Here is a 17,406-nt window from a genome sequence, read left to right as displayed (position 1 = left end):
GTCTGAGAATATATACCTTTATTCTAGTCATCCAAGTCTCATTAATTTGTGGCTGCAATCTTGTTTCTGCTAATTATCTTTAAAGGGGTATTAAATTTGAAAATATTATTTGTAGGAATAATATAAAGTGTAGGATAATAGTTCCACTCTATAGAAAGTATGTCCATTGGCTTCTGACTGGATGCTGGGAGACTACTCAGGGATTCCCTTAATCCCAATTCAAGACTGGAGATTCCTTAGATGATGTAGGATAATGTATCTGGCCTCAGATTATGGGTACCTGGATATGTAAGGGCTGGTTTAATCCAGTTCACCTTCACATAGAGAGTGTAGCTCTTCATTAGCCCAGATTAAATTATACGTGTGTGTGTATGTGAGAAAGAGTGGAGGGAAGGAAGCTTTGATTTCTGACATCCTTAATCCTTGAATAGCCAACCTAATGATACAATGACTTGATTGATTCAATCAAAATCACATGTAATTCTTTAAATGGATATTGTAGCCTCAATAATTTCTATAAAGGAGAATTTTCAGCACTCTTAGCTGTGGATTGAACATTACTACAAAATTCACATTTAAACTCCTCAAACATTAGTGGAAATCAAAATAAAACACACAACTCTTAATCTGCAAGCAAATGTTTCCTTCCAATAACTACCCCCTGCCCATGATAACAAGAAAGAGAATTCTGTGTCATGGTCTGTCACATCAGTACTCAATATTGGGATTTACATATCAATATCTTATAAACCCTTAGAGTACGGATTCCAGAAGAGAGAGCCTCATTTTTTTTCCCCTTTCAGTTAGTTCCCTGTGCAAACAACCACACCAAAAGATCTTGTCTAAACACAGTTCTGACTACTTTATTCTTTGTTTTCTTATACTCAGTAGTCGCTACCATGACGTGAGTTGAAACAATAGGTTTGGGTGCGTAGGCAATACCTCAATTTGACCTTTGCTGTTGAGCTGGCTGCTACCTAGTAGACAGCATCTAATGTGAGGCTCTGGAGAAAAACTTAGGTCCACAGTCTTCCTTTTGATATTTGGGGGATAGAAACAGTTAACATTTTTGAAACTATGAGAGCCCAATATACTGGACTCTCAGTTTTAGATTGTAGGCTTCAGGTAGAGAGAGTCTCCCTTGCCTGAGCTCTATTATCTTTCATCTTTGCTTAAAAACTAGTTAACTTTTATCTAAATTCATCCCTCTCTTATTGAACTTCAGTAAAAGTGACAAAAAGTAGCCAATTCACACCAACGTTTTGATCTTCCAGCCACTTTCCCTAGAGTTACAGCACATGGTCTGTCTCCCAGATATCACAGCTAACAATGTTGCCAATTTTTTGGCCATGGCATATAAAGGATCACCTGTATTCACCTGCAACATTGTGTCTTCATTGCCCAGCATCTGACTTTTAAGTCAATGTCAGGTATTTCAGGATTTTTTCTGTGATTGTGTCATTTCTAGCTACTGAAATGTGTATTAATTATGATACAAGTTCTATCTGCTTTAACAAAGATCCAAATATAACCATGGCTTTTAAAGGTGGAATTTGATTCCTCTCTCATGTAACAGCCCATGGTCTATATGTCAGCTCCACAGTGTTAGGAATCCAGGATTCTATTTTTTCCTGCCGTCCTTACCCTGCACTTTCCATATCTAGGTTCTTGGTGGTTGCTTTAGGTTTCACCACCACATCTCAGGAGCAAGAAAGGGGAGAAAAAAATAGGAGAACATGTGTACATTCCTTTCTTTTTAATTGTACAATCTAGAATTTGCATGATTCACCTCTAGTCATATCCCGCTGTCTAGATCTAATCTGGTCACATAACCACACTGCTCTACAAGAGAGGTTTAGCTGGATGATGAAGTGCCTAGATGAATCTTCCAATGATAGAGAAACAGGAAAGAATAGAGTTGGGAGTGACAAGCGGCAGTGAATGCCACACAGGGTATTGATGCAAGAGGTAACATTAATATTTAACTTTTTCATCATTTTCCTTTATATTTTCCCACCATGCTATTAAAGAAAGAACCACTTACATGTTTCTCTATAATCCCACACAAGAAACAGGGTAAGCACATTAGAAAATAGCTTGATTAATACGTGTGGGATGAATAAAGAAATTAATGAATGTTGGGTGACCTTCAAAACACATCTTCTGATAACAGATTAGGATTACTCTTTTTAAGTAAAGAAGTATAAGAAAAAAAATCCTACTCAACCATAAAAGGAGACTTTTGAAGCACATCTAGGATGTCCAAACAATTTATCATATTGCGGTTTACCATGAAAAAAATTACATGGTGACATTTAAATTCTTGTTACAGGTTTGGGTTTGAAAGTCAGGGAATGTTTTAGTTATTTCTAAGCTCTTTGCCTGCAATTAGAGGAAGTGGCAGCCAGAGGAAGTAATGTTCTAGATTTGGAGAAAACAGCTTTGGTTTCCCGTGTGAGTGGTATACTAAGATGTGGAGTCACATGCAAATGATATTCAGTTATACTTTTCTACATAGTGGTAAAAAGCTAAGGCTGTCAGTCAATATCAGCACTAACATATGAAATACAGTTCGGAGCTTGTAAACAAATATGATTGCCCGCTAATATTTATTGTAACAAAATATTGAATAAAATAGTCTTGGCATTTCCAACGAAAACAAATGTAGAGTTAAAACTCTCTGGATGCTTTAGCATTCTGATAGCTCTGGTTGTTTGCTGTCAAAAGCTCTTACAACCAACTCTGAAATTCTTTTATGAGAGAAATCTGACTTCAAAGCAATTCAATTTGTATTTATTAAATTTCTAATATTTGCAGGAACTCTAAAGAAGCTTGATTATTAGATTCCTGCCTCTGCCTCAAATTTCTACCAAGCTCTCAAAGTGCAACAAGTTTCTTTTTTCTGCTATATGTAGATGCAGAAGATTGGGAATAAAAACAATTTAGCATATATGTATATTTGTGAAACTATGATTATTCTTTTCTAATTAGCATTTTCATTTATAATTAAGTGTAAGTTTTTACATATATGTTTTTCACATTTTACAAGTAGTCCTTTCCATTTTCTTGTCCCAATAATTACAGCTAATTGAAATAAATAGTGCTCTTAGGAAGACTTTCAATGTGCTACAGTTTTACAATGTGCATTTAATTCAATAAAATATACTCTAAATTTCTCAGAAAGTAATATTCAAAGGTTATGTTTTTAAAGATATGTTTTGTAAACATAGATCTAAACTGGTCTCTACACAAACATATTAGTCCTCAAAGTTGCAGATATAATTACTTTTATAAATAGAGTAGATATAATTACTTTTATGAATAGAGTATACCCAATATTCTAACGTTACAAGTATGATTCTTATAATTATTCTTACCTCTTTGAATTAGTGTCTGATCATTAGGAACTAAATCTGACCAAGGTATGAATTCACATTGCTCTATATCCACAAAATATCCAAAGATGGAACATTCACCAGTTGGTAGGTTGATGCCTACAACCGAAAATAATAAATTCAACTAAGAAAGGGGTTCAGTTATGGAATGTTTCACTAACCATGTAAACTCTCTCTGAAAGATCTGATTGTTGAACAAGAAATAATAAGTATTCACCAAGGGTATATCCAAGTGTATAGGCCTGTTTTCCCCTCAATCTTCAATGTGTAAAAATGAAGTTTTATTAACTTCTTGTCCTCTTTATATCCAGAAAGCAAGGTGAAGTATGATCTGATATTCCTTGAAATCTTACCCCAAAGTTTTGATTATTACCATGTGTTTGGATGCAGTTAAATGCCAGTAACATATTGATTGTGGTCAAACCAATATATCAGAGAACTTTGTTATTTGTAAATCACACTTATCTTTCTATTATAAAAGTAATACATTTTCTTAGCACAAAATTCTGAAAATATAGAATAAAAGTAAACTAATTTAGCCATGGATTCACTATAAGATAATAACAGTATTAGTATTTCATATATTCTTATTTACCACTTGAATGGTAAATAAATCTTTGGAAAAGTGTGTGTGCAAATTTTTTTACCATTTGAAAAATTGTGTTTTCTTATTATTGTGTTTTAAGAGTTCTTTATCTATTCTGGATATATCTTTGTTTGATACGTAATTTATATATATTCTTTGAATCTGTGGCTTGTCTTACTATTATTGTTATTCTCTTAATGGTAAGTTCTTCAGAGCAAATGTTTTAATTAAATTTTTTTCTCTTATGGATTATGCTTTTAGTGTTGTACATAAGAACTCTTTGTCTAACTGAAGGACACAAAGGATTTTTTCTTGTCCTTCTTAAGAATTTTATAATTTAGACCAGGCGTGGTGGCTTATGCCTGTAATCCCTGCACTTTGGGAGGCCAAGGTGGGCAGATCACTTGAGGTCAGGAGTTTGAGACCAGCCTGGCCAACATGGTGCAACCCCGTCTCTACTAAAAATACAAAAATTAGCCAAGCGTGGTGACAGGTGCCTGTAATTCCAGCTATTTGGGAAGCTGAGGCAGGAAAATCACTTGAACCTGGGAGGCGGAGGCTGCAGTGAGCTGAGATCACGCTATTGCACTATAGCCTGGGTGACAAGAGCAAGACTCCATCTCAAAAAAAAAAAAAGTTTATAGTTTTACAATTTATATTTAGGCCTAGCATCCATTTTAGTGTATAATCTTAGTCTGTCAAATTCCTTTTTTTAAACATATAAATGTTCAGTTGGTCCAGTACCATTTGCTGAAAAGACTATTCTATTAGTTAGCTTGGGCTGCCATAACAAAATACCATAGACTGGGTGGCTTGAACAACAGAAATTTATTTTCTGTTGTCTTTTGTGTGTTCAAATTTCCTTTTCTTCTAAGGATGCCAGTCAGATGGGATTAAGGCCACACTTCCAAGCATCTCCCTTATGGAGCTCTCACACTCCCTGGCAATGATATACTTACCCTAATCACCCCAAAGCCAGGTACCAGATAGCCAGGGACAGCCCTGTTCAGCAGAACTTGCTGAAATTATTCAAACTAGCCAATCCCAAGCCCATTTACACTGCTTTGCCCATTCCTTCCTGCAGAAACCACAATAAAGGTACTTGCCCACAGTTCCCCTTTCTCCGTCTGCCCTGTGACTGACCCCAGTGCTTCCATCCTGAGTGGCCCAATGTGTCATGTTCTTTCTCTTCAGGAACCTGTGAGTATAACAAAACTGTAAAACCGTTTCCAGTTCCCTTTTCTTCATCTGAGTCTGGCCTCACCATACCTCACCCAAGGGAATATGGTTAAAACAGCACGCCACATACGATCTCTGTTGTATATTCTTCTTTGTTTTCCTTTACAAATCCCTTACAAATATAAAAATCATTCTTAGCTTACAGTCTGTACAGAAGTAGGCTACAAGCTGGAATTGCCTTGCAGGCTGTAGTATGCTAATCCCTGGTTTAATTAAGTGTCCCTTATTATACATCATTAGTTTTTAGAGAAATGCAGATTAAAACCACAGTGAGATACATTTCATACCCACTGGAATGGCTATAATAAATGAGAAAGACAATGACAAATTGCCTCCAAATATTGGGGAGGATTTGGAGAACAAGAACCCTAATATATTGTTGGTAGGAATGTAGAATAGTGTAGACATTTTGGAAAAAAGTTTGGCAGTTGCTCAAAAGTTAAACCTAAAACTACCACAATATGACCCAGCAATTCTTGCCTTAGGCATCTACCCAAGAGAAATGAAAACATATGTCCACAGAAAGACTTGCATATAATGCATAAAAGCATTATCCATAATAGTCCCAAACTTTAAACAATCTAAATGTCTACCAACTGGTAAATGGATAGACAAGATGTGATATATTCATAGAATGGAATACTATTCAGCAAATTAACTACTGATAAATGATACATTATGGATGAGCCTCAAAAACATTATGATACATGAAATAAACCAGACCCAACAGACCATATATGGTAGTTGATTTCTTAAAATGCTTATTGAAGCTTAATTTACTAAGAAGCAAATTTGTTGCCGATGGTTGGGGATGGGAATAAGGATTAACTGTAAATGGGAACGGAGATCATAATGGAAAGACGAAAATATTCTAAAACTGATGTATGGTGATGGTTGCACCACTCAGTAAACTTACTAAAAAATCATTGATACATATATTTGAAGTGGGTGAATTTGGTGTGTAAAATATACCTCATTCAAGCTCTGTCTTCTCAGTTCAGCAAGGCCATTTTGTTCTTCTTAGGTTCCCTTCCCTGGGCCACCATCTGGAAAGCTCCTCCAGGTAGAGGGCTGGGGCAATCATAGGGCTCATCTCATTTACTCCCTGGGGCAAGGCCATGATTTATTACTGTCCATCCCAAATAAATGAGGATACTTCTTATTTTCCTTCTTGATAGGGATTGAAAATGTATTCACCAGGTCAAGAACACATACCAAATGCTAGAGATTGTCCCTACTGGTAAAAAGAGTAGCCAAAGTGACTGGGATTACTATTTGTTTAAGATTATTATAGTCCACCATCACCCACCTTGATCCATCTTTTTTATTTCAAAAGATCAGGTTAGTGAATTAAGTAGGAATATAATGGATAACTCATACCTGCATCTTTGAAGCCCTGAGGATGTCATTGATATCTGCCATTTCTTCCAGGATGCAGTATTGGTTTGAGGTCTGTGGACTGAGGATTGGCTCTACGAGGGGCTTTCATTTGGCTTCTTATGCCATTATAAATCTTATTTTACAGGTCAGGAAATTAAGGTGAAGGTGTTTGCCAGTGCTAAGTATATCCATTCTGATTATGCACCCAGGTGCTGGGGAAATGAGCACTGGATGAGTCCATGAACAAACTGCAATGGAGTTGTACCAGGACCTTATCACCTTTCCTCTATAAGCCCCCACTCTAATAGAGGGACCATGATGTTCTTTTGGTTCTACAGGTGTAACTATTAGCTCAAATCCTGTATTCAACTATCCTTCAAAGAACTGGTGTTCCCCTTTTCCCTAGTTATAGTAACTCTAATAAATGACTTTAGGTTCCTATTTGTTATGTCATTGCAGATCCTTCCTCAAGTTGAACTGCCTTTCCTTCCCGAGATCTGAGTGCTAAGGGAGCTCATTGTTATTAGTTGTCACTCTTCTAGGCTCTCTCAGCAGACAGAGCTAAGAAATATATGTACATATACTGACCTGGGTATATACTCTGTTTTCTTTTGGTTTGTATTTGCATTACATGTAATTATTAATTACCTCATTCTAAACTTCTGTGTGCTTCAAATTAATTTATTAGATTTATACATTTTTCTAACAAATCTAAAGTTATCTGATATTTCTACACTATTCTCAAACACAACAAAGACCTTAGCACACTTCCACTACCTATTGAACACCCCCCTCTTCCATCTTATTTTGTGTATAATTTTGATTTTGTCTTTTTAATAAAAAGTTACTTTATAATCAATAGTTTTATCAGTCTATTGATCTATATTACCAAGTTCTATGCTCATCATTACTCTTATATTGGTCACCATCCCACTGTGTATATTAGTCTTCTTGCTGAAGTACATCCTTTAATACTTCTTTTATACATGAGTTACAGGTGTTTGACGATTTCAGTCTTCATATGTCCGAATGGATCTTTATTTTGGTGTTATCTTAAATGATAGCTTCTGAGGATAAAAATTTAGGTTCCTTCATCCATTTGAAGATATTACTACATTATCTTTTGATCTCTATTGTTGCTAATAAAAATTTGTCTAATTATTATTATTATTATTTGAGACAGAGTCTTGCTCTGTCACCCAGGCTGGAGTGCAGTGGCGCGATCTCGGCTCACTGTAAGCTCCACCTCCCAGGTTCACGCCATTCTCCTGCCTCAGCCTCCCCAGTAGCTGGGACTACAGGCGCCCGCCACCGTGCCTGGCTAGTTTTTTGTATTTTTAGTAGAGACGGGGTTTCACTGTGTTAGCCAGGAGGTCTCCTGACTTCGTGATCCGCCTGCCTCGGCCTCCCAAAGTGCTGGGATTACAGGCGTGAGCCACCACACCTGGTCAAAAATTTGTCTAATTATTATTCCTTTGTAGATATTGTCTTTTCTCTATAAAAACTTTAAATATTTTTTATTGACATTTTGCAGTTTCACTATAAATTGTTTAAATGTGTTTAATATCAGGATTTATGTCAATCTGGCAAATTCTCTGATATTATATCGTCAAATGTTGCTTCTCTGACATTCCCCTCCAGAATGAGAGATTCTTCTGAAATCTCTTGGCAGATCCTCTCGCTCATCACTGTTCTTCCATATCTTTTTCTTCTCTAGGTTTCAACTTACTAATTCTTTCTTTGATGGTGACCAGAGTGGAGTTTATCCTATTGAATTTCTTTTTATTTACTTATTTTTTTTATTATTCTTTAAGTTCTGGAATACATGTGCAGAATGTGCAGGTTTGTTACATAAGTATACATGAGCCATGGTGGTTTGCTGCTTCCATCAAAACCATCATCTGGGTTTTCAGCCCCGCATGCATTAGGTATTTGTCCTAATGCTCTCCCTCCCCTTGCCCCCACCCCGCAACAGGCCCCAGTGTGTGATGTTCCCCTCTCTGTGTCCATTTGTTCTCATTGTTCAACTCCCATTTATGAATGAGAACATGCAGTATTTGGTTTTCTGTTCCTGTGTTAGTTTGCTGAGAATGATGGCTTCCAGCCTCAACCATGTCCCTGCAAAGCACATGAACTCATTCTTTTTTATGGCTGCATAGTATTCCATGGTGTATATGTGCCACATTTTCCTTATCCAGTCTATCATTAATGGGCATTTGGGTTCATTCCAAGTCTTTGCTATTGTGAATAGTGTTGCAATAAACATACGTGTGCATGTTTCTTTATAGTAGAATGATTATATTCCTTTGGGTATATACCCAGTAATGGGATTGCTGGGTCAAATGGTATCTGGTTCTAGATCCTTGAGGAATTGCCACATTGTCTTCCACAACGATTGAGCTAATTTACACTCCCACCAACAGTGTAAAAGCGTTCCTATTTCTCCACATCCTCTCCAGCATCTGTTGTTTCCTGACTTTTTAATGATTGCCATTCTAATTGGAGTGAGATGGCATCTCATTGTGGTTTTGATTTGTATTCCTCTAATGACCAGTGATGAAGAACTTTTTTTCATATGTTTGTTGGCCACATAAATGTCTTCTTTTGAGAAGTGTCTGTTCATATCTTTTACCTACTTTTTGATGGGGTTGTTTGTTTTTTTCTGGTAAATTTGTTTAAGTTCCTTGTAGATTCTGGATGTTAGCCCCTTATCAGATGGATAGATCGCAAAATTTTCTCCCGTTCTGTAGGTTGCCTGTTCACTCTGATGATAGTTTCTTTTGCTGTGCAGAAGCTCTTTAGTTTAATTAGATCCCATTTGTCAAATTTGGCTTTTGTTGCAACTGCTTTTGGTGTCACAGTCATGAAGTCTTTGCCTATGCCTATGTCCTGAATGGTATTGCCTCGGTTTTCTTCTAGGGTTTTTATGGTTTTGGGTCTTACATTTACATCTTTAATCCATCTTGAGTTAATTTTTGTATAAGGTGTAAGGAAGGGGTCCAGTTTCAGTTTTCTGCATATGGCTAGCCAGTTTTCCCAACACCATTTATTAAATAGGGAATCCTTATCCTTTTTTTTTTTTTTTTTTTGCCAGGTTTGTCGAAGATCAGATGGTTGTAGATGTGTGGTGTTATTTCTAAGGCCTCTGTTCTGTTTCAGTAGTCTATATATTTGTTTTGGTACCAGTATCATGCTGTTTTGGTTACTGTAGCCTTGTAGTACAGTTTGAAGTCAGGTAGTGTGATGCCTCTAGCTTTGTTCTTTTTGCTTATGATTGTCTTGGCTATATGGGTTCTTTTTTGGTTCCATATGAAATTTAAAGTAGTTTTTCCTAATTCTGTGAAGAAAGTAAATGGTAGCTTGATGGGAATAGCATTGAATCTATAAATTACTTGGAGCAGTATGGCCATTTTCACGATATTGATTCTTCCTATCCATGAGCATGAAATATTTTTCCATTTGTTTGTCCTCTCTTATTTCCTTGAGCAGCAGTTTGTAGTTCTCCTTGAAGAGGTCCTTCACGTACCTTGTAAGTTGTATTCCTAGGTATTTTATTTTCTTTGTAGCAAATGTAAATGTGAGTTCACTCATGATTTGGCTGTTTGTCCTATTATATTATTGTCTATTATTGTCAATATATTGCCTATATTGGTGTATAGGAATGCTTGTGATTTTGCACATTGATTTTGTGTCCTGAGACTTTGCAGAAGAGACTCAGACTCCCACACAATAATGGTGGGAAACTGTAACACCCCACTGTGAATATTAGACAGATCAACAAGACAGAAAATTAACAAGGATATTCAGGACTTGAACTCAGCTCTGGACCAAATGAACCTAATAGACATCTACAGAACTCTCCACCCCAAATCTACAGAATATACATTCTTCTCAGCACCACATAGCACTTATTCTAAAATTGATCACATAAGTGGAAGTAAAACACTCTCTCAGCAAATGCAAAAGAAAGGAAATCATAACAGTCTCTCAGACCACATTGCAATCAAATTAGAACTCAGGATTAAGAAACTCACTCAAAACCACAAAACTACATGGAAACTGAGCAACCTGCTCTGGAATGACTACTGGGTAAATAATCAAATAAGGCAGAAATAAATAAATTTTTTGAAACCAATGAGAACAAAGGCACATGTACCAGAATCTCTGGGACAGAGCTAAAGCAGTGTTAAGAGGGAAATTTATAGCACTAAGTGCCCACATCAGAAAGCGGGAAAGATCTAAAATCGACACCCTAACATCACAATTAAAAGAACTAGAGAAGCAAGAGCAAACAAATTCAAAAGCTAGCAGAAGACAAGAAATAACTAAGATCAGAGCAGAACTGAAGGAGATAGAGACATGAAAAACCCTTCATAAGATCAACCATCCAAGAGCTGTTTTTTTGAAAAGATTAACAAAATAGATAGACCACTAGCCAGACTAATAAAGAAGACAATAGATGAATCAAATAGATACAATAAAAAATGATGAAGGGGATATCACCACTGATCCCACAGAAATACAAACTACCATCAGAGATTAATATAAAAACCTCTATGCAAATAAACTAGAAATCTAGAAGAAAAGGATAAATTCCTAGACACACACACCCTCCCAAGACTAAACCAGGAAGAAGATGAATCCCTGAATAGACCAATAACAAGTTCTGAAATTGAGGCAATAATTAATAACCTACCAACCAAAAAAAGCCCAGGACCAGATGGATTCACATCCAAATTCTACCAGAGGTACAAAGAGGAGCTGGTACTATTCCTTCTGAAACTATTCCAAACACTAGAAAAAGAGGGACTCCTTGCTAGCTCATTTTATGAGGCCAGCATCATCCTGATGCCAAAACCTGGCAGAGACACAACAAAAAAAGAAAATTTCAGGCCAATATCCCTGATGAACATCGATGAAAAATCCTCAATAAAATACTGGCAAAATGAATCCAGCAGCACATTAAAAATCTTACCCATGACAATCAAGTTGGCTTCATCCCTGGGATGCAAGGCTGGTTCACCATACACAAATCAATAATCAATAAACGTAATCCATCACATAAACAGAACCAGTAACAAAAAACATATGATTATCTCAATAGATGCAGAAAAGGCCTTCGATAAATTCAACACTCTTTCATGTTAAAAAACACTCAATAAACTAGGTATTGATTGAACACATCTCAAAATAATAAGAGCTATTTATGACAAACCCATAGCCAATATCATACTGACTGGGCAAAAGCTGGAAACATTCCCTTTGAAAACCGGCACAATGCAAGAATGCCCTCTTCACCACTCCTATTTAACATAATATTGGAAATTCTGGCCAGGGCAATCAGGCAGGAGAAAGAAATAAAGGGTATGAAGATAGGAAGAGAAGATGTCAAATTGTCCTGTTTGCAGATGACATGATTGTATATTTAGAAAACCCCATCGTCTCAGCCCAAAAACTCCTTAAGCTGATAAGACTTTCTTTGTCTTAGTACCAGCTCCTCTTTGTAAATAACAAAATTTTTCATTTCCAGATGTCTATTTCATTCTTTTTCATAGCTATATGTTCTTTTAAAATTTCTACATGTTGTTCCGTAATTCATCATTTATTAAAAATGGATGCCATTCATTTATCTTTTTAGGACCCTAAACACTTACATTCAAATCTGTGTTAGGTCATAATAATTTTCCCTGAGATGAATTCATATGATGGGCCATTTTGGTGGTATATTTCCTTAACAGATTAGGTTTTCTTTATGTGTTTTACAATTTTTTCTTGCAATGTAATTATAATTTTTTTTGGCTCTCCCCCTTTTTTTCTTTTTCCTCATTTCTACTTTGGTGGTTTTATAGTTCTATAATTGCTTCTACTTGCCTTTCCTTCCCTTTTTACCCTCCTATTCTAACCTAGTTTTATACTGATATTTCAGATGACAAAGCAAAATTTCATATTCATTGTTTTAAGATAAGCATTCAAATATAATGAATAATTTATTAACTTGCCTTTTAGTTTACAGGAAGAGCAAACACAGTTCTAGGTATTTCTGCCTAACAAATAAATTAAGGCAATTTATTTATCTATAGGAGTTAGAGGATGGAGTTGAATCATTCATTTCAACAACAAATTAACACGCAATGCTTTTGGATTAAAGGTTAATTTCCACAGGAAATAACATAGAATCTTTGCCATCCAGATGTCTTAAATAGAACTTTTAACAAATACAGTAATGTGCCACACAATGATGTTTTAACAATCATGGACTGGATATATAATGATGTTACCATAAGATTATAATGGAGCTGAAAAATTCCTATCACCTAGTGACATCATAGTCATCGTAACATCGTAGCTGTCATAATGTCATAGCACAATGCACTAATTATCTTTGTGGTGATGCTGGTGTAAACAAACCTACTGGGGTGCCAGTTGCATATACAATTATCTACAGTACATAATCTTTGATAATGATGATAAATGACTACGTTACTGGTTTATGTATTTACAATATACTTTTTATCATTATTTTAGAGTGCACTCCTTCTATTTATATATAAAATTAACTGTAAAACAGCTTCAGGCAGGTCCTTCATGTGGTATTCCAGAAGAAGGCATTGTTGTCCTAGGAGATGACAGCTCTGTGTGTATTATTGCCCTGAAGAACTTCCAGTGGGACAATATATGGAGGTGGAAGACAGTGATATTGATGAACTTGACCCCACGTAGGCCTAGGCTAATGTGTGTGTTTGTGTCTTAGTTTTTAACAAAAAAGTTCAAAAAGTAAAGAAATAAAATAAAATATAAAAACAGAATAAAGATATCAAGAAAATATTTTTACACAATGTGTTTTTGCTTTAAGCTAAGTGTTGTTTCAAAGGAGTCAAAAGTGAAAAAAATTAAAATTTTATAAAGTAAAAAAAATTATAGTAAGCTAAGGTTATTATTGAAGAAAAAAAATTTTTTTTTTGAGGCTGGGTCTTAATCTGTTTCCCAGGCTGGAGTACAGGAGCACAATCATGGCTCACTGCAGCCTCCAACTCTTGGGCTCAAGCGATCCTCTCACCTCAGCCTTCCAAGTAGCTGAAACTACAGGAGCATACAACCATGCCTGGCTTTTTATTTATTCACTCATTTGTTTTTAGAGATGGATGGGTCTCACTATGTTGCCCAAGCTAGTCTTGAACTCCTGGCTCAAGCAATCCTCCTGCCTTGGCCTCCCAAAGTGCTGGGATTACAGGCATGGGCTACTGCACACAGCCTGAAGAAAGAAAAATTTACAAATAAATTTAGTGTAGCCTAAGTGTACAGTATTTATAAAGTCTACAGTAATGTACAGTAATGTCTGAGGCCTTCACAGTCACTCTCCACTAACTCAGAACAACTTCCAGTCCTGCAAGTTCCATTCATGGTAAGTGCCCTATTCAGGTGTACCATATTTTAAATCTTTTATACTGAATTTTTACTGTACCTTTTCTATGGTTAGATATGTTTAGATGCACAAATACTAGTTTGTTACAATTGCCTACAGTATTCAGTAGAGTAACATGCTGTACATATTTGTAGCCTTAGAGCAATAGGTTATGCCATATAGCCTAGGTGTGTAGTAGGCTACACTATCTAGATTTGTGTAAGTTCACTCTTTGACATTCACACCATGAAAAAAATCCCCCAACAGCACATTTCTCAGAACACATCCCAGTTGTTCAGCAATGTATGACTGTAACCTCAAACAAGTACATCAGACAAATCAGTAGGATTTGTATTTTTGGTATAATGTTGTTAGCATTCATCTTTATTTAACAAAGTTCTTCTAAATATATTTATGCTTAATATTTTGTCTCTTTTTGGTACCTGCATCAACAATCACTTTACCTACTCAAAGTTCTTTTAGTCAACAACAGCTAATTGCAAATGTTTACTGTTTCAAAGTAATAGGATGGATTCCATTTGTTAGAACCGATTCAAAAAGCACAAGTACTAAGGAAATCTAAGGCTTTATAAAATAATTTGGATTTTTTTAAAAAAAAGAAATATAAGACTATAATATTATGATCCTACAGAACTTCTTGCTACATGGCGATATGGATAATACAGATCCAGAAACACAGCAGATGAGCTCAGAGTAACTGAATTGATAGTTTTATGGCTTTATCTTCTGCCTTACTGGCATTATAGGTTTTCGTAGCACCTAAAACCAAACAGGAATGTAATTTTCTTCAGCTTCTTTCACTATAATGAGGGTATTGGGTATATTATAAACCTTCTTTTTCCTTCAATCTTAACATTTTAAAAGATGAACCTAATCATTATAAGCCAAGCATTGCTTTAAATTAATATTTTAAAATAAGTATAGTTATGATTTTTCCCACAGAACTTACCTACTTGTGAACTGTTTCCAAATAATTCATGAACAAGTTTGTCAAAATCGTATGTTACTTTTGCAAGAGAATCAGGTTCAAGACTGGGACAAAATGGTATATTTTCTCTGTGTTCATCTTCACGGTTTAAAGCTCCTCCAAATGCCCAAGTAAAGGCAAACACAAAAAGCTTTTGAATAATTTTTGTTAATTTATCAGGATTTTTCTCTGGATACCATGTATTTTCATCCCTGGGGTAGACAGGTATGGAAGGATGAAGGTTAACATTTTTAGAAAGCAGTTTAAGAATAGAAATTTACTTTAATATAATGTTAAAGTTTCATTATTAAAAATTGTAATGCAGTTAGGTACTAACATAAAAGTTTCAGAGTTTATGTAAATTTTTTCCTTTGATAATTGTCATGTAAATGATACAATTACTATTTTTTTAAAGTACCATATGTATAAAACTTGTGTAGTCAAACTTTATTTCAAATATACTTTTAATATGTTTTTATTTAACATATATATGCTTTTATTTATAATATACTTTAATATATGTTTAGTATGTTATTTAATATACATATATATGCTTAATATATGTATATATTTTAATTTACATAAAAATGTTTCATTTTTATTTTAGGTCAGTTCATTAGCTGACAGTTTATCTGTATTTTGGAAAAGGAAATTATAATTCTTAATTTTATGTGGAAAGACATAAGTGAATAGTCATTCACCCTGTATTTGTCTCAACCAAGTCGTAGAGGTTGATTTAGTTTAACCTGGCTAAAGCCAGGCAGTCTGAATCTGGAGAGAGTCTTCTCCACTCTGGATTAACCCAGATCACCCATGGTTGGTAGGATCATGAAATTCTATGGTGATGGTGATGGGGCTGAACATGAGATTTGAGCCTGATTTAAAGACATTTCATATAGTTCAGAATTTAGTATTACCATAAAACTATTTATAAATTGTGAAAAACCTAAAATATGTCACTAAACTGGAATTTATTAGCAATCATTAATGTACAGTTCATTTGTACAATTCTATCTGAAATTTCTAGCTATATGTAATAGTTCACTTAGCAAATATTTGAGTGGTTATTATGTATTGATTTTTCTGAACAAAACAGATATGATCCCTTTTTTACAGAACAGGAAAATTAATGCTAAACAATGATAAGTGTAAAGAAAAAAGTCTGTCAAGGGGCCAAGATGGCTGATTAGAAGCAGCGGCCACCCTTGGCACTCACAAAGAGGAATGAAAGCAGCGAGAGAAGTCAGCACCTTCAACTGAAATATCCAGTTTCTCTCACTGGGACTGACTAGGCAAACAACTCGACCCATGGAGAATGAAGAAAAGCAGAGTCGGGTGATGGTCCACCTGCGAGTGGCACATAGCCAAAGGAACCCCCTTCCACCCCCAGCCAAGGGAACCCCAGCCAAGTGTGGGGTTGCACACTCCCTCACTGCTTCTTCCATGGATCTTTGCAACCCACAGATCAGGAGATCCCCCGTGAGCCCATGCCACCAGGGGCTTGGGTCCCACACACAGAGCTGTGGGGAATCTTGGCAGAGCAGCCACTCAGGCACACACAGAGACCTAGGAGTTTTAAGTACTCTGGCCCCAGGAATCTCAGAAAGACAGGAGATCTATCCATAATTTCTGATAGGAAAAGGGCTGGATCCAGGGAGCCAAACAGCATCGTTCTCTGGGCCCCACTTCCAAGGCACCTCACGAGTTAAGACCCACTGACTTGGAATTCCAGCCAGCCACTGGCAATAGGCTGGAGGCTGTGTGAGATGGGACCAAATTCCCAGGGGGCAGGGCAGCTTCCATCTCTTGGTTGACTCAGTTGTTCCAGCCTGCTGGCTCTGGAGAGTCCAGGTGGTCAGGACAAGGAGGGGTTCCCCACAACACAGTACAGCTGCTTTGCCAGATTGTGGCCAGACTGCTTCTTTAAGAGGGACCCCCAATTCATTCGTCTTCACTGGGTGTGGCCTCCATGCAGAGGTTTCAGCCCCTCCCCCCAGGGTTATTTGGACAGAACTCTGATCTCTCCCTGGGATGGAGCTCCTGGAGGTGGGGCTGGCTGCTGTCTCTGTGGTTTGATTGACTCAGCTGTTCCAGCCTGCCAGCTATGGAGAGTCCAGGTGGTCTGGGAAAGAAAGGGCCACTCCCAATGCAGCACACCTGCTCTACCAAGAAGCAGCCAGACTGCTTCTTTAAGGGAGTTCCTGATCCTGTTCCTCTTGACTGGGTGAGACCTCCCAACAGGCGTCTCCAGACACCTCCTATAGGAGCGTTCAGGCCGGAAACAGGTCAGTATCCCCTTGGGACAGAGCTTCCACAGGAAGGAGTAGGCTACCATCTTTGCTGTTTCAAATCCTTCACTGGTAATACCTCCAGGTAAGGAAAAAACTGAGGCAAGTAGGGTCTGAAGTGGACCTCC

At 36.6% G+C, this 17,406-nt stretch overlaps 1 protein-coding gene across 26 annotated transcripts in view, besides 1 other annotated feature; it reads right to left on the bottom strand.

Moving 5' to 3' along the window:
- Positions 1 to 17,406, bottom strand: part of DNAH14 (dynein axonemal heavy chain 14) — a 469,633-nt gene that overhangs the window by 143,492 nt on the left and 308,735 nt on the right. For 25 of the 26 annotated variants that reach the window (XM_011544062.3, XM_011544067.3, XM_017000296.2 and 22 more), the window contains 2 exons: positions 14,973 to 15,202; positions 3,378 to 3,494 (listed from right to left, as the gene is read on the bottom strand). In XM_011544062.3, the coding sequence (XP_011542364.1) occupies positions 3,378 to 3,494; positions 14,973 to 15,202 (347 nt within the window). The remainder of the gene's footprint in view (positions 1 to 3,377; positions 3,495 to 14,972; positions 15,203 to 17,406) is intronic. The other variant, XM_017000297.2, reaches the window with a different exon arrangement.
- Positions 5,083 to 5,132: a silencer, noted in NCBI's record as "silent region_1855". NCBI's record gives its function as "represses an Ori minimal core promoter by ATAC-STARR-seq in GM12878 lymphoblastoid cells {active_cell/tissue: GM12878}" and the evidence as "EXISTENCE:reporter gene assay evidence [ECO:0000049][PMID:35858748]".

This window comes from Homo sapiens, chromosome 1 (assembly GCF_000001405.40).
Source record: "Homo sapiens chromosome 1, GRCh38.p14 Primary Assembly".
Taxonomy (NCBI): domain Eukaryota; kingdom Metazoa; phylum Chordata; class Mammalia; order Primates; family Hominidae; genus Homo; species Homo sapiens.
Note: the sequence above shows the minus strand (reverse complement) of the source record. Positions and strands in the feature narration are given on the sequence as shown.